Source organism: Homo sapiens, chromosome 6 (assembly GCF_000001405.40).
Source record: "Homo sapiens chromosome 6, GRCh38.p14 Primary Assembly".
Taxonomy (NCBI): Eukaryota; Metazoa; Chordata; class Mammalia; order Primates; family Hominidae; genus Homo; species Homo sapiens.
Window position 1 is genome coordinate 36,314,898 of NC_000006.12, and position 21,991 is coordinate 36,336,888.

General features: G+C 49.5%; 1 protein-coding gene across 4 annotated transcripts; it reads right to left on the reverse strand.

Annotated features, from left to right (window-relative positions):
- Positions 864 to 21,991, reverse strand: BNIP5 (BCL2 interacting protein 5). Of its 4 annotated transcripts, none has more exons than XM_011514597.3 (12): positions 21,815 to 21,991; positions 15,184 to 15,797; positions 13,701 to 13,817; positions 12,133 to 12,197; positions 11,613 to 11,856; positions 10,386 to 10,517; positions 9,232 to 9,290; positions 8,396 to 8,636; positions 7,414 to 7,545; positions 6,258 to 6,322; positions 4,459 to 4,713; positions 864 to 2,494 (listed from the first exon to the last, which is right to left on the reverse strand). In XM_011514597.3, the coding sequence occupies exons 2-12, from the start codon at positions 15,791 to 15,793 to the stop codon at positions 2,459 to 2,461; spliced, it is 1,956 nt and encodes a 651-aa protein (XP_011512899.1). In that variant the 5' UTR covers positions 15,794 to 15,797; positions 21,815 to 21,991; the 3' UTR covers positions 864 to 2,458. The 4 variants fall into 4 exon arrangements, with proteins under 4 accessions (XP_011512899.1, NP_001010903.3, XP_011512898.1 ...); NM_001010903.5 differs by having other exon boundaries at positions 9,232 to 9,293; XM_011514596.3 differs by lacking the exon at positions 21,815 to 21,991 and adding an exon at positions 20,753 to 21,778 and having other exon boundaries at positions 9,232 to 9,293.

A 21,991-nucleotide genomic window follows, 5' to 3' on the forward strand; every position in this document is an offset into this window, starting at 1 on the left:
GGCTGTGTGACTGTGAACAAGGTGCTTCCCTACTCTGAGCCTCTGTTTCCTCATCTGTGAGAGGAGGATAATAATGCTGCCTCCTCCTGCTCTCCTTGGAGCATTAGGGTGAGCCTTCAGGGGTTGAGGAACAGATACTCTTGTGTCACCTGAGAGAGGAGAAAGGACATCATCAATGTCTGTTCTTGGAGACATTTTATGGACCAAAAACCTAGCGCTGTATTCTAACAATTTTTTTAAAATTATTATTATCCTTTAAGTTTTAGGGTACATGTGCACAATGTGCAGGTTAGTTACATATGTACACTGTGCCACGCTGGTGTGCTGCACCCATTAACTCATCATTTAGCATTAGGTATATCTCCTAATGCTATCCCTCCCCCCTCCCCCCACCCCACAACAGTCCCCAGAGTGTGATGTTCCCCTTCCTGTGTCCATGTGTTCTCCTTGTCTAACAATTTTTTATCTTGGCTCTGAGTGACAGAATTTAAGCACCAGATTTGGGGGACTAATAAGAGACAAGGTGGAATCAGTACTGCTCCCGATTTTCCTGGACATGCAATGAACTGTCACATTGAGAGTCACTGAGTTGTAGAATGTCAGGTCTGGAGGGCAAGTATCTTGTCCCCAGGGTCACCCAGCCTGGGGGCAGCTGGATTAAAACCCAAGTCTTCTGACACCCAGCCCAGGACACTTTTTTACTGCATCAGAGAGCTGGCGCTCCAAGGATGGGACACCTGGAGGGGATCCAGGCAGGGACAAGGAGGCCAACCCACACAGCCTTGCAGGCACCAGACAGTCATAGATGTGGCAGGTGGGTATCTGTCTTGCTTCCATGGTGAATAACCCAGATCACAGGTTTGTGCAAGTTAATGTATTTATTTGCTCAAATAACACGGTACAAAAATGAGACTCAGATGCCAGCATCAGGAGCACATACCAAATACTCATAGGGCTTAAAGAACATCATTCCAAATAAGAAACTATGTACAAAAGGTTCCTGACCTTCATTTCATAACTTATTCTGATCCTTCATATTTAGGTGCTATGATTGTGAACACTGCCTAAAACAAATCCACAAATAGCTCACCTCTCCCCCACTTCTCAGAAGCAGCAATAAAAACTAAATGGCTTTCCGGATAGGCTGAGTTGAGCTTATGAAGCCAGTGCCTCAGGTTGGAGGCCAGTCCCATATAAGCACCCAGGGCCTCTCCGCTCTAGACTGCTCCTCCTCCCCAGTCCTACCCCATGGTGCGACAGCAGGTTCAACACGGCAATACCATGTCCCCAAGGGTCACAAGATCTCACTTGCCATCCAGGTTTAACACCCTTTCCCCCATGACCACATGTTCTGGGCAGTGTCCAAGGGAGCCGACTGTCTGTCTACAGTCTTGTCCTTCCTGCACATAGATATGAACATGTGGCAAATTTCACACCTGAGTCAAGCTATTGAAACTGTTGAGCTATACAGAAGGCAGAGCCTCTGGCACCCCCACACTTCACCTTTGTGCAAATACAAAAAATAGCCCTTTTCTCAAGACATGTTACTGCTACCAGCTGCAAAACTGTCATGATAAATCTACAAATCCACAATGTCTAGGACATGAATAGTACCTCCTGGAGTATGGTGCTCTTGAGCAGTGCACCCCTGTGCAACAATCCATGGCAGTCCAGCCCATTGAAGCCCTCCTCCACTTCCTGAAAACTACCCAAAAGAAGCTATAGTGCCTACATGGACATGGCACTAGGTAATTTTCAGAACTCTTCACATCCATTTTCTCACTGACTCCTAGCCAATCCCATGAGATGGGAGAGGTGCAAGGTATCAGCTCCATTTCTCTAGTCATAGAATGACAGGACACAGGGTTAGAAGGATTCTGAGAGACCAAGTGTCCCCAGTCTCTAGGTTTTTCCATCTTGGGCCTGCAGAGTTCCTGGGAGGCATCTACAAATCCATATGAGCATGAAGAACTACTGGTCAACTGAAGAAATGATGGGATACACTTCGATGCATATCTGTTTGGATGCATGTGGATGTTCTGTTTAGAGATTAAATAAAAATTTAGTTTAAAAACTAGACTCAGTTAACATGAACATCTGAGAAAATATCAGTAGGCCTTCTGGGTGGGATCCTAGACTCCAAAGTCTGGAGAGGAGGGGGAATGTGTAGAGGGTCATGCAGCAAGTCTGGGGTAGGTTCAGCAGGTAGAGCCCCAGTCTTCCTCATTCCCAGTCCAGTGCTGATTTCCCCAGACATGGCCTCTGTGTCTTGCCTTGTGGAAGAATGCTCTGTGCTTCTCAGATACTAGGGTATGGACACAGAATGATTGTCTGCTCTTGTCTTCCATCACGTTTGTGAAGCAGGGATTGGGACATCACAGAGCATCTTCAGGGTCTCCTGGCTAAAGCTGCGAACCATTTGGCTAGTTCAAGGGAATTTGAGTGCAAGACACAGCTTTCAATCTGGACTTTCAACCTTAGGACTTGTGATGTTCTGGGAAGAGAAAAAGAACATAGGTGTTAGCCACAGCTCAATTATTTATGGGTTCATTCTGGAAACAACAGACTTCCCATTATCCCATTGACACCCCACCCCAGCCTCCATCTCTGGGTCTTTGTTCTTGCAACACCTCCTGCTGACACTGTTCTCCTGATCCTTTCTCCCCAGACAGCCTCCCCATTCTCAAAGGTCAAAATCAGCAACTCCACCTCCTGGAAGGCTCCCAGGACCTACTTGCTTCATGGGCCTCAGCTACCACTCATTTGGTATTTGGTTGCTATTTAATTTTGTCATCAAACTGTTGTCTTTTCCATTGGCAGATGAAGCCTTTGAAGGCAGAACCTTCCACAGAGCCTCACAGCCCTTTGCACAACTAAGCACATAGGAGGCTGTCAATAGCTACCAGTTAAATGAATGAATGAATGAATGAATGAATGGTTAGTAAAACCAGAAGATGGAGTCAGGGCAACTGAGGATGTCAGAACTGATGTTTCTATAATATCTTTCACGAATAACTCAGATCGATCTGTAAGCTATTACCTAAGCCACCCTAGAGGGCAAATTATCTGTAACATTCCTATTCTCTAGGAGAAGACAGTGAAGCCAAGGAGAGAGAGAGGTCCATGGTAAGGAGGATTTCTGACCAGGAAAATGAACCGAAGTAGAGGAGAGCATTTGAATGACAAGATACAACTACCATGAAATAAGCCAGCTCTCTTGAGAGACTTTTCAAATGGCTTCTAAAGGTAATTCCAAGAAAGACAGAAGTGTTTCGGGTGATAGTAGCATCATTGCAAAAGGTTTCCCAGGGGACCACTTGGATGTAGAAGTTCCGGTCCTGTTTGTCCAACACCAGCAAACAGAACATTTCATTCCTCTAAAGTTACACCTTCATTCAGAGGCTTCTACGCTGTGGATCTGGGTCAAATGTTTGTAAGCAGGTTATGTTAAGTGAATTAGAAAAGGATGAAGAAATCTTTATCAGAGTCCACCAGAAAATATGAGAGCTCAGAATTTTTAAAAAATCAGGCCAGCTGTGGTGGCTCATGCCTGTAATCCCAGCACTTTGGGAGGCCAAGGTGGGAAGATTTCTTGTGGCCAGGAGTTCAAAAGCAGCCTGGTCAACATAGTGAGAATCCATCTCTATACCAAAAAAAAAAAAAAGAAAATTTAAATTAGCTAGGCGTGGTGGCATGCTCCTGTAGTCCCAGCTACTTGAGAGGCTGAGGTGGGAGGATCATCTGAGCCCAGGAAGGTTGAGGCTGCAGTGAACCGTGATTACACCACTGCACTCCAGCCTGGGTGACAGAGCAAGACCCTGTCTCAAAAAAAAATCAGTGACAAGCATCATCTCTGAAGGGAATATCTCAGAGACTTGGGGGAGGCGAAATTATTAGGAAAAGCATAAATGCACTCAGAACAGTGAAGGTGACGGCAGGAGAGAGGCTGTTCATTAAGCAACCAAGGCCAGGTCAGTGAGTGATCGCCTCCTGGAAGCCTTCCAGAACCAACAGCCCATGGAGCCTTCTTGTCTATCTCAGCCACCCCTTATTTGATAGATAACCTTACTTTGTTATTTACATTTTATGACAGCCTAGAATTGAGAAGCCAAGCAACAGAGCCCACAAAATAATAACAAGGCAAGCTAAGATCGTAGCCAGTCCAATATGCCATTCTATCAAAAAGCATGGAAATGTACATGTAATTGAAGACTAGAGCCAAATAAACAAGATGTTAATTATGGAGTAAAATCAGTGAGGTTTCAGAAAAGAAAAAGGTTGTCATGGTTTAGAATTGTCTCAGAAGGCCTCAGTGAGGAGGTGACATTTGAGATAGACCCAAAAATTCTGAACTGAGCAGGGGAGGGGAGAGGAGGATAAGTAGATCCCACTGGAGGCCAGCTGTGAGCCTGCTGTCACTCATGCTACATTGCCATTGTCTTCCCCGCCCTCTCTCACCGGCTGGTCCTCCCTGTATGGGAACTGGGTGCAATTGTAGTGGTCTCTTAGGCCCATGAGGATGCACATGGCATGGCTGTTGCTGCCAGCAAATTTGTTAGCTAAGCTAACGTCAAACTGGTAGAGTCTCCTGGCGCGGTTCCTGTCCAGCTTAGAGGAGTGAGCCACCTGGCTGCGCAGGGTGGCTACCAGCTTGCTGAGGGAGGAGTCCGAGAACTCGTAAAAAAACCTCTTAAAGCTGGGGTGGCGCCTGATCTGGAAGTGGAAATGAAAACAGGTCATTAGTGTTGCTGGCAGTACCCCTCCCGCCAACTGCCCCTCCCACAACTCCATGCAGCCAGGCGGGGCACTCCTTGTCCCTGGGATGAGCTCCCCTTGTTACATCCCTCCACTGCCCCTAGCCTCTCAGAATCTGTTCTGCGAGGTCCAGCTCAAAGCAGCAGGACAAAGTAGAGGGCAAGGGTGGAAGTACAGGTCTTTAGACTCAGATAATTCAGAAGCAAACACCCCACAGAGTCTTCTCGTCTACCCTAGCCATTCCATATTTGACAAATAATCATACTTTATTATTTAAATGTATAACAGTCTAGAATTGGGATGCTTAAGTTGCACTTACTATGTGTGTGAGCCTCTGGTCATCCATAAAATGTAAAGTATCCACCCAACCCCAGGATTGCTGGGCGGGGATTGGAGGGGTGGGGAATGAAATGAGAGAATTTATATAAAATGTTTAGTACAGGAATGTTTAGTACAGATGTTAGAGGAATTTAATTCCTTCTAAGCCTCCTCCAACAAGCTCCTTTCTCTTAATAACTAAATGGGTTCCCCAGAGGCAGACCCAGACACAAGGACTTGGGTACAGGCATTTTATTCATTAAATGATCCCAGGAAATGCTAATGGAAGAATGAGACCTGGAACAAGAATGGGAAGGCGGCCCAGGGGGTGGCAACTGGAGCTTAATCCACTCAGGGCACCTTGGGAGCTCGCTGAGAGCACATTCCTCAGTTATACCCCACAAAGGCAAGGGAGCTGGGGTCTCTATCCACCAACTCCCACCAGCCATTGGTTGAGGGTTGCTCATGGGGAAGTGGAGGCTGTTAATTCTGCCCCCCACATGAGTTGCAAAATGGCCCTGGGTCCTCAGGCACAAGGAGGCAGGTGCTGGCAGCTGGATGGGCCAGCGTGCACTCTGGTGGTGAAGAGAGGCACCCAGAGCGTCCGCTATGCTGATTACTCATCTTTAACCTGACCTCTTCACATGTGATCTGTGTTTGTCTCTCAAAGTAGGCTGTGTTTTCCAAGGGTGGGGAACCTTCTGTTACAGACTGCCTATCAGGGGAGAAAATCAACAAGCTTGAAAGAATGAGAGACCACATAAATGCTGAAGAGCACGGCAAGACCGAGAGTGAACCCGGAGACCACAGGGAATGGAATCAGCCGGGCGGGTGGGGCCAGGAGTGGCCAGGTGTGGGCGGAGGAGGCTTCCAAGGACGGGGGACATGAGCCGAACTTCAATAGCTGATTTGGACAGGAGTGGTCCTGGCTGGGGCAGGGAGGCCACATGAGCGTTGTGTTATTTTAAACAGTTCCCTCATCTGCTACATGTCTGGCGTTTTCTACATATGCACTAAGCTTGGTCAAGTAGGTAATTCTCTCTCATTTTGGAAAAGAGGAAACCGAGACTCAGAGAGGTTAAGGGACATGCTCAAAGTTGCCCAGAGGTGCAGACTTGGGGATGGAACCCAGGTGGGTAGATGAGGCCCTGGGGTTGGCCTGGGGAGGGCTGAGTGGTACTCACCTGCTGCCCCAGTTGGCCATCCACTTCTTGGAGAAGTGCCACAAGCTTCTGGATGATGATCTCCTCTAAGGAAAAGAAAGGAGGATTGAGTGACTGTTGACTGGGTGATGCCCAGTTCCCTTCCAAAAACAAAGTGCTGCAACAATACATCCACCTGTGAAAGACAATATTTTCTCTCTAAAACTCAGCACACACGTTAGTTATGATGGACCCAGACAATTCTTACCTTAAACTAGAGCTGGAGTATGAGAGACTTGTTTGGGTTCCCTTTACAGAAATAGAAGGGACTCTGGTTTGCTGGGCCTCACCTGTAACCACATTCAGCTTCATTTGATAGGTGGGAAACTGAGGCCTCCCAGTGTCCCTTATCCAGGCTACAGGGTAGCACAGTCAAGAATGGGAGTTTGGACGAGGAGCAGCACATCAGAATGCAGGGAGGGGACATGCCAGGGCTACTGACCCATTAGGAATGCACCCATCCACCTGTGTTCTAAGCAGCGGTGTGCCAGGGCCTACTCGTACTAAGTTTACTGTAAATATTCAGGAAATTTGTGGACTAGTTGTTTTGTTTTAGACAGAGTCTCGCTCTGTCACCCAGGCTGGAGTGCAGTGGCGCGATCTCGCCTCACTGCAACCTCGGCCTCCTGGGTTCCAGTGATTCTCCTGCCTCAGCCTCCCAAGTAGCTGGGATTACAGGCACACACCACCATGCCAGGCTAATTCATTTGTGGACTAGTTGTTATAAACTGTTAGCAGCTTGAAATCAGCCAAAGTAAAAATATTTATGCCATGGAAATCTGCAAATGCTACAAAGTAGGGCATCCTTCTCCCATTGGAGAGCCTGTCTGCCAGCACACCACTGCTTATGAGACCCGGAGCAAGCTAGGAATTTCATATGAAACATTCAAGCAAACGAATGGGGGTGTTAATTATATTCCACAGGATAGACAGGTGTCCTCTACCTGCAACTCTGCCCCAACAGCACCAGTTTAAAGGCCAAGCCTGTGCCCCCTGCCCCATCCTAGAGTCTCCTGGGGTCTTTGCCTGCTGCCTTCCCCATTCCTTCCTCAGAACCATCCCCTATTCAGCCTGTGAACTCCATGTGGAAGAGAAGCACCCGGGAAGCTGTCCAGGTAAGAGCAGGGGTGTTACTGACTAGATTCACATGCTCCACTCAGCTGAGGTGCCCCTTCTGGCGTGTGGCCTCTAGCCTGGGAGGGTGCTTCTGAGATCACAACTGGCTCCCCTTCTGCGGGCAGGGGCTCCCGGCACTCGAGATCTTCTGGATCTAGGGCAAAAAAAGAGTTGTTGAGTGTTTTGCAGAGAGCTGAATCTAGTTCCTGACAAGAAGCTGTTCGGAGGCACAGGCATAAGCAGGGGCTGGTTTCCAGGCTCCTCGGTGAGTTTCCTGCCCCCGGCTCTGCCTCAGAGGAGTTCGTGGTGCACTCCTGGCCTTCTCCAGAAACCTAACTTTCGCCCACCAACCCTTTCTGCCTCCTCAGTCTGGGAGGGGCGCAGTTAAAACAGGTGTGCCAGCAGGGCCCACCAAATGAACCCTTTCCCTCTGCCAGGTTTTCTGGGTCACTTAGCCTGTCTGAACCTCACTTTCTCCATCTGTTAAGTGGGAGTGATAAGATTGACCTCACAGGGTTGCAAGCAGGTTAAATGAGATAATATGTGTGAAACTAGCAGGTAGTAGGCACTCTGTGATGTCAGGGGAATTACTGTACACCAGTGGCCCTCAGGCTTTGGTGTAGTGAAAAAACAGGCCCAGGCCATCTCCTACTTCATCAAACCCAGTTCTCTGTGCTTTTCTATGAACTGGCCAGGTGATTCTGATGCACAGCGGCACGGATCTCCCATCACATTTGTTGTTAAGTGTTTGTGTGTGGAGAGGGAGGGGAGGGCGTGTGCAGTGAGCAGGGCCTACTGGGGGTGGGGTCCTGCTGGCACCTGGACCCTCACCTCTCCCCACACTTCCACACCCCCCACTCTACTCAGCATGGAAAGACACAGTCAGGGCTTTCAGCAACAGTGGACATCCTCCACTATGCCAGCCTGTCAACGACAGACAGGCCACACAGCAGCCTTGCCCAAGAGGAAGCCTCTGTTACCATGGCAACACCAGGCCTGCTCACCAAGGCTGCTGGAGGTGGAGGGCCGATGGCCACCAACACACAGGGGCAGAAAGCTGGGCCTCTTGGGTCGTCGGGCCTCTGGGCTGGCAGCCCCTGCTGCCCCCGCTCTTCTGGGTTCCTTGGAGGTGTGTTTCTTATGGTAAAACGCTCTCCTGAAGCTCGACCTTTTTTCTTGAGATTTCCTTCTGCAGTGTGGGGCCGGGTTTTCTACACCCACCTCTTCCTGCTGGACTTGAGGTTGCTGTGGGGGAGATGAGAGAAACTGAGTCAGGGCCCCTGACCTTGAGGAGATCTCAGGTGAGGTGGGGAAAGAGAGCCACGGTGGGCTAGCAGGCGTTGCCCAGAGAAGAGTGGTTGATGCTCAGTGCTGGGGAAATATGTGTGGTCTGGAGGGGGCTGGGGAAGCTTCAAGAAGGAGGGACTGGGTCCGGGTGCAGTGGCTTACACCTATAATCCAAGTACTTTGGGAGGCTGAGGCAGGTGGATCACCAGGGGTCAGGAGTTCGAGACCAGCCTGGCCAATATGGTAAAACCCTGTCTCTACTGAAAATACAAAAATTAGCCGGGTGTGGTGGCGCATGCCTGTAGTCCCAGCTACTCAGGAGGCTGAGGCAGGAGAATCGCTGGAGCCCAGGAGGTGGAGGTTGTAGTGGGCCATGATCGAGCCACTGTGCTTTAGCCTGGGCGACAGAGCAAGACTCCGTCTCCAAAAAAAAAAAAAAAGGAGGGACTGGAGCAGGACACAGAAGAGCAGCAGAGACAGGGAAGTTGTTACACCAGGCAGGGTTGGGGAGCCCACAGTGAGGTCAGGGTTACATGGGGAGCGTCTTCCTCACCTCCTCTCCTTGCTGTTCTTCTGCATCTTGGAGCATGGAAATGATCTTCTGAATGAATTCTTCTGAAAAAGATCAACACGCATGGTTAACTTTGGTGCTACGAAATCTCTTCTGCGGTCAGTCTTCATTTCCTAATGCCCCGGTGGCTCCCTGGGTGATTCTCCAAGGGGGCTAAAGAGCTGCCAGAGGTGGCCTGAGGGCAGAGCTGGTTTCATGGGATACATATTCACTTTACCAATGACGGCCTCTAAATAGACACCCAGGAGGAGGCCCCTCAGGGCCATCTGGAAAGGCCCATTCCCTACAGGTGCCCTCATCCTGCACCTTCTCCCTGTCCAGGCAGAATTTCCCTTCAAGGCATATTTTCTATGAAAAGCAAACAAGGCAGAATGGCAGGGGATAGGGGGCAGAGATCTTTCCAGGTCTTTTCAGACCTGACGGTGATATTATATATATATATATATATATATATATATATATATATATATATATATATATATATATATATATATATATATATGTTTCTAGGCCTGGCTCTGCCAATGGTAAAATAATAATTACAGCGATGGCAGCTGCCATTAGCTGAGCTTCCCTCCCAAGGCCCCTACCCCTGTCCCTATCCTTTTTACTTCTGAGCTCTGCTCTCAAGCTGGGCCACCCAACAATGACAATAATAGCAACAAATGGCACCTAACACATATTAGCCACTAACAGGGGCTGCCCTAAATGCTGCCGACAATTCTAGAAAGCAGGTACTTGCTGCCCCCATTTCACAGATGAAGAAACTGAGACCAGAGATGAAGTAACTTGCCCAAGTCCACACAGCTCAAAGGGGTCACAGCCCAGACTCAAACCAAGGTCCATAAGATCACCCCATTGGCCGAGCCCTTGGTGTGGGCCAGCACTTTCCTCCCTTTGCCTCCTGTCTGCCTCATCAGGGTAAGCACCAACACTATCGCCATTTATCGAGGTTCAGACAGGCAGCCTGGCTTGGGCCTGGGCTCTGGGCCCCAAGCTGCCTCCCCAGCCTGCTGTACTCAGAGGGAGGTCTGGACAGGTCACTGCCTCTCTCTGGCTCAGTGTCTCTTTGCAAGTGGGGGAGTCAGAACAGAAGTTTTGCAAGGGGTGTCTGAGAAAAAGAGAGGAGTACTGACTGTATTCCGAGGCTCTGTCCAGCGGAAGCTCCTCTCCAGGTTCCTGGCTCTCTGATGGGGTGGGAAGCACGGAGGGACCTGGAGCCCCAGCCTCTGTAGATGGGGCCTCCTGGACTTTAGGTTCTTCCAAGCCTGAGAAGCAGAAGGAGAACGAGGGTGTGTTTTGTCTGTCTGGGGCTGTTAACTATGCACAGAAGCTAGCACAAACTAAAAGTGGGCTCCGTGGCTGGATCACATTAAGGACTTATGGGGCTGGAAGACAGCTGCTGGGCAGGGCTGTGCCTCTGATTTACTGGCCCAGACCGAGTTCCCTTATCCCTTTGTGCTTCCATAGAACTGGCTTTCCTGGGCTTTGCTGCCCTCTCCTCCCTCCACCATTTTGACTTGATCCACAAGTTGAAGAGTAGAGGCCTGGTCCCATGGCATGAATTAATGAATCATAGCCAGAATCCCCCTGCATGAAAATATCTCCCCATGGGCCTGAAATTCCCCTCTTTGGTGTTAAGCGTCACTCCCTCCTTTCTAAGATGTAAATTCTCCTGGCCAGGATGACCTAACAGGATGACCTGTTCTCCCTGATGCCCAGGAAGAAATGACTTGTCTGATCCTTTCCGCCTCTAGCTCTGGCCCCATCATCCATGGGCCATGTGGCCTTGAACACATTGTTTTACCTCCCAAAGCCTCAGGTCCTTCATCTGTAAGGTGGGGATAATAGTTGTACTCCATGTGATGGCTGTGGGGATAATAGTTGCACTTCATCTGATGGCTGTGAGGACTGATCGTGTTATAGATATGCAGCAGGGAAATGTCTCACTTTACAGGTGAAGAAATTGAGGCACAAAGATGGGGAATGACATAGACAATATGCTAGAACCCAGGTCTCCTGCCTCCCCTGCTCCAGCTCCTTCTTGCACACACTACTCCCCTCCCTGCCAGGGTGCAGAAGTTGAGGCGGCCAAGAAATGTTGACGGTTGGGAAATCCCGGAACATAATTTCCATCAAGGGCTTATTGGGGTTGCCTAGAGCTCGCTGAGGTGTTGTGTGTGGAGGTGACCTGCTGGCATTCTTTCTGTCTTCCCACAGTCATCCTCACACCACTCAGGGCAGAGTGCAAAAGTCAGACCAGGCACAACGCAACCTTTAAAATGGTCAATTCCATCCCCAGGGAAGGTTCCAGAGCTGGAGGCAGCTGCAGGGTTGCTATGGCAACTGCAGAGCCTGCTCACCATAGCTGCTGGAGATGGAAGGCCGATGGCCGCTGACACACAGGGGCAGAAAGCTGGACTTCTTGGGTGGCCAGGCCTCTGGACTGGAAACATCTGCAGCCCCCCTCTTGGCCTCCTCGGAGCCGTGTTTCTTGGGGTTTGTCTTTGAGGTTCTCTTGAGGCTTGTCTTTTTCTCTTGGGATTTCTTCCTAACAGCTGGTGCTGGGTTTGGCAGGGCCACCCCCAGCTGTGAGGCCAGAGATTGCTGTTGGGGAGAGGAGAAAAACTGGTCAGGTTCATGACACTGAGAGGGGGAAAGCTCTCTGGAGGCAAGTGAAGAGCAGCCAAGCTGCAAGATGGCCCCGAGAGAGGGGAGGCAGCAGAGCCCAGAGCAGGGGGAGGGCTGAGTTCTGAAGCTGCAGAAGGAGGCTTCAGGGAAGGAATGGACTAGAGCCCGGCCTGCAAGGACAGGTGGAGCTTGGCAGAGGAGGAGGAGGAGAAGGCAGAGAGCCCCTGGAGACCTGCAAAGTTTACTCCTCACCTCTTCTTCCCACTGGTCTCCCACTCTTTTGAGCAATTCCACTATCATCTGAATGATAGCATCCTCTGGAAGAAAGCAAATGCATCCGGTTATTCTTTCTAAATGCACTGACAACTCCTTCTAAATTACCATCTTGGATAGTTCTCTTAAACAACTCTTTAGGCCACACAATGGAGGGAAAGCACCACATCCCAGGGGCAGGTTCTTCTGAGAGAAGGTTGGAAGATCCACCGGGGAAGGCACTAAGCCAAATCATGACACTTTATGCAGGAAATTTCAGGTCAGCCCTTCAGGCATTCAACCTGTGCCCCACTATTTCCTTTGAAAGTCACAGATCTAGGAACGTCTACTTTGGGTTCAGTAAGCTGTGTGACCTTGAATAAGTTTCTTAACCTCTCTGGGCCTTTATCTCTCCCAGTGAAATGTGGGTGATAATCTTTGTCCTGCCTCCCTCAGAAAGCTGTCAAATGAGGGACTGGGCTTGAGAGCACTTTGCAAGGCTAATGTTGATCTTCCAACCTGCAAAATTCCAGTGGGAAAATGGTAGATACCTGGGCTAACTAAGGTGGAGGATGAAAGGATGTCGGTAGGCATGACACAGAGACAGCCTGCCACGCTGATGCCTCAGCCACACCCCCATGTCTGCACGGAGAAGCCACTGACAATGGAAATGGTTTCCTTTGATACCCCAGTCAGCCTATTCAAGGACAATGTGCCCACACTGTCCTCTGCTAGGTGCCAGCTGATGAGTTTACATGAAAAGAGATGCAAACAAGGTTCCCTGTTCCCAGGCTGTCTGTGGGTTTGCTTTTTTTTTTTTTTTTACTCCTAACTTCCCTGTCACTTATAAATTGTCTGGCTTTTGTCGCTTGACTCAGCTACCAGCTGGTTCCCTCTCATGTAAGAAAACAATTAGCTGCAAAATAACTAACTCAATGCCTCTTAGTTATTCTTTGACATATGCATAGCTCCTTCATTTCATATATGCTAAAATATGCTCATCTTTTTTACAGGGAATTAGATGAATAGGGGATTATGCTCCATTTATTAGGAGCACTCATGGTATTGTGGTTTTGTGTGAGACTGCACTTATCTTTTGGAGATGCATGTTTAAGTATTTAGGGATGAGGCATGATTTACTCCAAAATGATTCAGCAACAAAATGATACCCACACAAAGCAAACTGGCAGAGTGTAAACAACTATAAGTATACAAGTTGTGGCAGCGTGTAAACAACTGTGAGTATACAAAGCATTGAATGATACTTTTCATTCTTCTACATATTTTTTAAAGTAAAATAAATTTTAAAAGACTAAGAAAAGTTCCGTTTTCATTAACACATAAGGCAGAAGCATTTGCCAGCAGCATTTCCAATTCCCCAGCCTCCCTTCTGTGAAATTCTAAAATAAGCAAACGTGGCCAGAAGCACCAAAAGAGGCAAGAAAGGCCAGTGCATGTATTTTGAGAACCACCATCCAAGGTCTCAGTAATCATTCAGAACAATCCGTCTCATTCAGTAACAGCCACCTCAGCCACAGGCAAAAAGGTCACTAGAGATTCCGACTCACGGTCAGGCTTTTTGAGCTCCTCTTCTTGCTGATGACCTGTGGCATGGGGAGAAACATCCAAAGCTCCAGTACCATCCACTTTGATGAGGAAGGACTGGTGATCAGAATCTTCCCCACCTGGAATAGAGACGAAAGCAAACGGGTATGTAGGTGTGTATGTGCGTGTGTCAGTGACATTCTCCTGACTTTGTTCATCAACACGAGAAAACAGCACAGAATTCACAGTGCAACAGGTGCTGCTGCAGCCCGCTCTAGGCTTAACCAAAAAATCAGAAACCCACTAAGATTTTTATTTGAGAAGAGGCTGCTTCCACCAAGACACCTCTCTCGCTAACCCCCTCCCCGCAAATCCTCAGTCTTCTCCCCATCATAAACACTGAGTTTTGAGTGCTGCAAGGCAGAGCCCCCCTCCCTCTAGGTGCCAGTGGGCATTCAGCTCCAGAGCCTTGGGAGGCAGAATAGGAAGGCACCTTGGGAGCCAGCACCCTTATTTACATGTGGGGAATCAAAAGTTCTAGAGGGAGCAGCTCAAGCTCAAGGTCACACAGCAAGTTTACTCCTGATGGAGCCAAGTCTAGAACCAAGGCCTGGAAGCAGCAGCCCAGAAGCACATAGGCACCAGTGGGGTGGGAGCAGGGCTTTGCTCCTCACCCAGCTCCCTGCTTTCTCATTTCTCCTAGGTCTGTGCTCCTAAAACTATAGGAGTTGGCAATAACAGCTATTGTGCACTAAGCACTTTCCTTGTGGGCTGTGGCCACTCCATGAGACAGTAACGTTATATTTATCTTCATTTTATCCATGAAAAAAGTTGAGGCTCAGAGAGGAAAGCTGCCTCCCTGGGCCACACAGCTTGTGAACGGCGGCACTGTGAGTGGTTCTCCCTGGAGCGCTCAGCCACGGTGCTGTTCTACCTCAAAGAAATGTCACAGTGGGCCGGGCGTGGTGGCTCACACCTGTAATCCCAGCACACTAGGGGGCCACAGCCCGTGGATCACTTGAGTCCAGGAGTTCAAGACCAGCCTGGCCAACATGGTGAAACCCTGTCTCTGCTAAAAAATACAAAAATTAGCCAGGCGTGGTGGTGGGCACCTGTAGTCCCAGCTACTCGGAAGGCTGAGGCAGGAGAATCACTTGACCCTGGAGGAGGAGCTTGCAGTGAGCCAAGATCATGCCACTGCACTCCAGCCTGGGCGACAGAGGCTCCATCTCAAAAAGAAAAAAGAAAGAAAGGAAGAGAGAGAGAGAAAGAGAGAAAGAAAGGAAAGAGAAAAGAGAGAAAGAAGAAGGAGGAGGAGGAGGAGAGGAAGGAAGGAAGGAAAGAAGGAAGGGAGGGAGGAAGGGAGGGAGGAAGGAAGGAAGGAAGTCACAGCGGTGCCGGCCCCTGACAGCTCCCCCGACTATCCCTGTCCCTCTGTGGAGAGGCTCCTGGAGCAAGTTTAGAGCACCCTAGGGGTTGCCATAGGAACAGGCACGGTCCGCTCACCCCTGCGAGCTGGGCCCAGGTCAGCCTCCCCGGAGCGCAAGGCAGCAGCTGCCTTGGACAACCCTTCCTCTCGGCCTCTGGCCTCCTGGTCTTGAGCTGCCTTAGTCACCTCGGCCGCGTGTTTCTTGTGACCTTGCTTCTTGCGGCTGGGCTTCTTGTCGTGGTGGGCTTTCTTCCTGAGGGCTGGCTCCCCTGCTGCTTCCAGGGGCTCCGGATGCTGGGAGATACCCTCCTTCCCCCTTGGCCTCCTGCTGGCCTTTTCTCTGGGCTCCTCAGGGCCCGTCCTCACGAAGAAGTTCAGCATGGTCTTCAGCCACCCCTTCTTGGTGTCTTGCGAAGGCCTCTGCTCGCTGGGGAGAAAATCTCCGGTCTCCTCGGGAGTGGGGGCTGCAGCGGTGGTGCAGTGAGCCTCTGCAGATGGAGCTGGGCTGTCTGAATGTCTGGCCCAATCACTGGTCGTCCAGTGAAGCGCCTTCCTGGAGGGGGCAGTGGGCAGGGAGAGCCAATGGCAGTCCCACGACTCCGAGCCTTTCCCGGGGGCCTGCGGCCTGTCCAGAGACCTGGCTTTCTTCTCCGCCAGGGGCCTCCTTGGGCACCTTGGATTCTCCATCGGGCTGCAACCAAAACACACAGCTCCCTTAGTTTTTTTGTTTGTTTGTTTTGATTTGTTTGTTTGTTTGTTTTGTTTGTTTTTGTTTTTTATGACGGAGCCTCGGTCTATTGCCCAGGCTGGAGTGCAGTGGCGCTATCTCAGCTCACTGCAACCTCTACCTCCTGGGTTCAAGCGATTCTCCTGCCTCAGCCTCCTGAGTAGCTGGAATAACAGGTGCCCGCCACCACACCCGGCTAATTTTTGTATTTTTAGTAGAGATGGGGTTTCACCGTGTTGGCCAGGTTGGTCTTGAACTCCCGACCTCAGGTGATCCGCCTGCCTCGGCCTCCCAAAGTGCTGGGATTACAGGCATGAGCCACCTCGCCCGGCCAAACAGCTCCCTCAGCAGAGGCCTCCTGGGCACACCAAAGTTGGCTCCTGGTGCTGACCAGTGGGCCCATTCACCCTGCCCACTAACGTGAGTAGTGTCAACAATTTCTCAAAGCTGTTGTCTTGTGCAAATTCCCCCAAAACCCTCGGGGAATGGGGGTCATTATTCTCATTTTCCAGAGGATAAAACTGGACCACAGGAAGATTGTGCTCAGATCTCAGGGCTGGTCAGCCGCACCTCCAGAGCCCCTGAAAGGAACATAGCCCTGTCCACACCTAGGTTTTAGTCTATCGAGACTGATGTGGGACTTCTCCAGAACTGCATGATAATTAATTCATCTTGTCCAAAGCCACTGGGTCTGGGGGCTTTTGTTACAGTAGCAATGGAAAACGAATACAGCCGGAGCCAGAGGCCTGGTCCTGCCCCTCACTAGCCTTGGGACTTTGGGCAGCTCAGGCACCTTTTCTGGCCCCGTGTTCTCATCTGAAGCATGCCTGAGCCCTGCCCTCTCTCACAGGCTGTCATGAATATTCCACGAGGCAGCTCCGTCAGTGGCAACTCTTTTCTTCCAACTGCTCAAGCCAAAAATGTAAAGTCACCCCTGACTTCTCTCTTTTTTTAAAAAATAAATAATTTTATTTAGAAAATAGATATGGGGTCTTGCTGTGTTTGTGCAGGCTGGTCTCAAACTCCTGGGCTCAAGCGATCAACCTACCTCGGTCTCTCAAAGTGCTGGGATTACAGGCATGAGCCACTGCTGGCCTCCTTTCTTTCTTTTACCCCCACATCGACCCATCAGCAGAGCCTGTTGGCCTCACTCTCATAGAGCCTGTCCTCACCCTGACGGCCCCCTGTGGTCTCTAGGTCCCCATCTGCACTCACCTGAGCTGTTACCACCACCTCCTAACTGACCTCCCTGCTCTCCTCTTGCCCTCCTTACAGTAACTTCTCCCCTTTGCAGCTGTGGGGGCTTTTAAAACAAAAGTTACTTCCCTTCCTCCAAGAGGTCCCCTTTCACTCAAAGTCTTTAAAGCGGCTGTCACACCCCACACGTCCCAGCCTCCATCACCCCTCTGACCACATCTCTCTCACTCCACTCCACGCACACAGCCCTGCTTGCTGTCCTTCAGGCCCGCCTGCCTCAGGCCCTTCACACTGGCCAGTCCCTCTTTCTAGAACATTCTTCCCTCATGGAAAGAATGAGTTTGTTCATGGTTTGTTCCCTCACTTCCTTTGAGGCTGTACTTAACTGTCACCTTCCCATCGAGGCCCTCCCTGCCTATTGCCCATCAGCACACCCTTTCCCCTCCTACCCTACGGCCTGGTGGTGTGCAATGTCGTGTCTTTATGTGTTTAGTTGTTTCCTGTCTGAGTCTCTCTCCATCTCCTGTGTTTATTTTGCTAGGTCTTCTATCTTTGAGTGCCTAGAACAATGTCTAGCATATCACTGCCACTCAATAAGCACTTATTAAACAAATGAATAGATGTATAACACATTTAGTAAATGGCACAACACGTAAGGTATCTTTGGATGTGTAGTTAACATGAAATCAGTGCTTTCGGGCCAATTTCATCTTAGAGCAGTGGGGGCTCTTCCATTCTCCATCCAGAATGAAGCAGCGGCCAATGAAAAATGACAAAAAAAAAACCTTTCCCACCTGGGCAGCATTTCAAGCCCGCCTAGGTGTGGGCAGTGCATTTGATTTGTGTGTCTTTAATCTAAAACTCTTGGGGCTTTCCAATTTTTCCAGAGTTGTTCAGAAGGCCTCTTCCCTTCAGTGGAAGGTAAAAGAAAAATAAAATATGGTTTTGAATGCCAAACCTGAGCCCCTGGAGAGTCCTATGGAGTTTAGGACCACAGGTTGCCTGCTCTAATTTGTCATTATAGCTTTAGCATGCATTGACCAAGTAATGTTTAGTGGTATGGGATGTACTGTAAAATGTATTCTATTGCTATGCTCAGCTTAGAGGCAAAAATAAGAATCTATAATTGCGATTTCTTATGTGTGGGATCCACAGGAAAGTGAAGAAGATACAGAGAAAGAAGAAAAGAAATGGGAACACACATATTTGAAGGTGACACGAACATTTGGGATGCCTTCCCTCCTCCAAGCACCAGTATGGGAAGGAAACCAGATGGTATTGCAGCCCCAGGTCGCTGAGGCCAGAGGCCATTGGGGCCGAGTGTCCACACGTGGACGACCTTGGAGGAAATGAGAAATCAGGTCGGGGAGGAGGCAGGCAATTTAAAAGGACTTATTTGTTGTTTAATGTTCCTTAAAAGGAACATCTGGGCTACATGGAAACTTTTAGCAATATGTATCTGTACCTTATATGGAAATTCACTAATGTTCCTGAAAGGCTCAGAGACTGGCTGCCTTATGGTTGTGTTTCCAAAGACGATGCAGGGTAGGACAAGGAGAAGAGATCATAGAGGAAAATATTTATGTTTGTTCTCACTTATTTCTCTCAACATTTAATAAGCACCCACTCTGCACCAGAAATTATGCTCAGTGCTAGGGATACAATCATGAACAAGATGCAGTGTGTGCCCCCAGAGGGAATATTCTGGTCTTCTCTGAATGCGCAGGAATAAGGATGTGAGTACACAGTGATGACAGCAATGTCCCATTCCCCTGCATCTGCTCTCTCTTCAGAGGCACATGGTCTTAAAAGAAGATAAATTTAGGTTGAAGTTCTATGTGATTTAAGCTCACATTTAAAAAAGAGTAAGCTGACCAGAAATATTTACTGAACGGTGTCAGGGTTCTCTCTGCATTTTCCATATGTTCCTGTGGTCAGGGAAAATTGGATGGGGTTGTCAGAGAAGCTGTTCATTAACAAAACCACAGAACCAGGACACTCTTGTTCAGCTCAGCCTCTCTTCCGTCTGCACAGATTTGGCTCCATGGGACCCATCGCACGGAGGACCGGCGCTTCCTTACCCAGTTAACGGGAAGAGAGATGCAGTAATCTTTTAAAAAGCTGTCATTGCTATGGAAACGGTTTTCGCCATTGCCAATGGCAGCAGTATCCTCCTACCACATTCCAAGGACACGCTGCTCCTCCTGATCAGAACATTAACACAATCCCACCAGCACATGCTTTCCCTGATGTTTTTTCAGGAAAGCTGCGGTGATTTGGCCGCTCCCTCCCTGGAATAACCGGTGCCCTGAGCCCCCGGGGAGATGAGAGGAACTAAGGCCAGGAGCCCCCGCAGCTGCTGCTGCTGAGCCCAGAGGCAGGCAGGAAGGGGGCCTCTGCTATCCAAGAGTTTCCCCAGTGAAGAGATTCCAGGGTCTCCCAAGGTTTCCTAATTCCAAATCCAGTGGCCTCTTCCCATGTCTTGTCCTCCCTTACGTGCTTCAGTATTTGATACCAGCCCTACTTCCTTCTTTTCTCTTTCCTCTCTGGGTGGCTGTGACTGTCCTCAGTCCAGCTCTCTCCTCCCTCTCCCCCGCTCCAACTGCTCCTCCTCTGTAATGTTCCAAAGATTGTCTTCAGCTCTAGGCCAGGGATTGAGACAGCGCGGCTGACTGGGGAAGACACACCCACACGCCCCCAGGAAGACCCCTGAAGAACCTCTGCGGATGGGGTGTCCTCAGTCTCTAAGCCCTGGGAAGCTTGTCTTTTAATCCTAATAACCTCCCCTTTCCTACATGTGCCAAAATTAAACCGTTCAAGACTTTCCAAATATAAAATTCTGCTATCCAGGATTTATCAAAGCAAGACTTTCCTTTCCTTTCTTCTTCTTTTTTTGTTTTGTGCCCCAGGTGCTCAACTACGTTCAGTCCGACCACCAGGGAATCCCACCCTGTGCAGACTGTGCTCCAGACCAGGAATCCTAAGTGAGCAGCGTGGTCTCACTATGCGGAAACCCAGCTGATCTTGTAAACTTGTTATTGCCTTGGCCGAAAGTGGATGTCAGAGCAAAGTCCAAATCAGCTCAGAAATACCCAAGTGATCTGCACATCACAAGACTGCTTCTGATAAGATGTGACATTTACCGGTGACATGTCCAGCAACAGCAACAAAGAACCAGAGAAGGCTCACAAAGCTGACCCTGGAACGGGAAGTTTGCTTGCCTTCCCCAAGCTTGCTGCTGTGTGTTGTTTACTTTCTAAGTTGCACGGTGACCTCATCTCTATGCTGTTCTCTAATTTGTTCACCTGGCCGCGTTACTCTCTAACTGCTCTGGTGCCTTTCATGGAGATAACTTCGCGGCTCCCCTTCTCCACCCCATGATTCACACAATAGAAACTTCACAGAGAGCCAACCTGCTGCACACCCACAGCAGCACCCTGAGGGACAGAGTGTGTGGCACACACACGTGGACCCACAGTCAACACCACAGACATCCACGTGTCACCAGAACACACTTGTGCACACCACAGACCAACATGGACTCAAGACGCCCTGTATTTCTCCTGTCCCAAGTGTAAGGGAATAATTATGTGACCAAGCTCACCGCTTGCCATCGGTCCTAACTCTAAATTCCATGAGAGGGGACCTGAGCCTGGGAGGCTCTCAGTGTTTGTGAAACAAACAAATGATACACAGGCATGTGCAAACCCAAACCAGCTCACCTTCATGCAGCCACACGGCGTCCAGAGAGCCGTTTCATTGACATGATCTCATTTCATCTTTGCCAGGAGCAGTGAATCAGATGGGCTAACAGTGGGGCACTGAGGCTCCGGACCATTAAGAGACACGCCCAAGGTCACATAGCCGGGAAGCAGAGAGCTGAGACTCTCCCACTTCTCCCGATTCAAATCCTACATTCTCTATTCTACACCAAATGGCCTCATGTAAGCATAGATACACATGCACGCACTTACACATGGACTTAGGGGAGAAACCTGCTATTTCACACTGATGGAGGTAATCACAGTCACATACACACCTACCATGACCTATGCACATGGAGTCACACAATCACGTGTGCCTAGGTATAGACACCCATGCCCTCCCCACCCCATTCTGTCCTCTATCCAAGACCACGGGCAATGCAACACTGTGTGAGGAGTCGGTCAGGACTGTGGGTTATAATCCACCTCCCAGCCTCTACATTCCCATCCAAGAGAGCAGTAGACCATGAGTTATTTTAATAAGATTTCCCCATTCTTGGACTAACTTCCAAAAACCTTAAAACTCATAGAACCTTAATTTAACCATAGGTCATAATAACACCTCTCATTTATCAGGGGGTTCCCTCATGTACCTTCACATAAAGTCTATAACTTGACCTCTACCACATCCTGAGGGAAACTAGCAGGTGAGCTATGTAATGCTGCCCCATCCTACAGACAAGAAAACTGAGGCCCAAGGAAGTGAAGTTCCTTGCTCAGGGTGGCGGCTAATAAGCAGGATTGGGACTTGAATACAGAGTTTTAAGTCCGAGTGAGCCCAGAGCCCTTTGAGAAACACCCCGTTGAGATAATGTCATTGAACCTTGCTCCCTCTTTTTAGAGATAAGAAAACTGATCCCCCACCTCCACCCCCATTGCCTCTCTGGGAGGGCCCAGCATGCTGGAAGCAGCATTGGGACTGGACTCTTGGTTTGACACCCAGGACTAAACTCTTCTCCGGACCCCAAGATACATACCCACTGCTCCCGCCCCCAAAGGAGAGGGTATTGTTCAACCAACCTTGGACCACAGAAATCGCTTCTGTCCTGAACACCCTGGGCTGGGATCTTCAGACAAGAGGTCTCTGTGTTAGGCTCTGCTCCCTGTCAGCTGGAAGTTGTGTCCAGTGAGAAGTCAGACCCAGCTCTCCCAGGGAGAAGATGCCACTACTTTGGTGCTGGCAATTTTCTGAGTGTC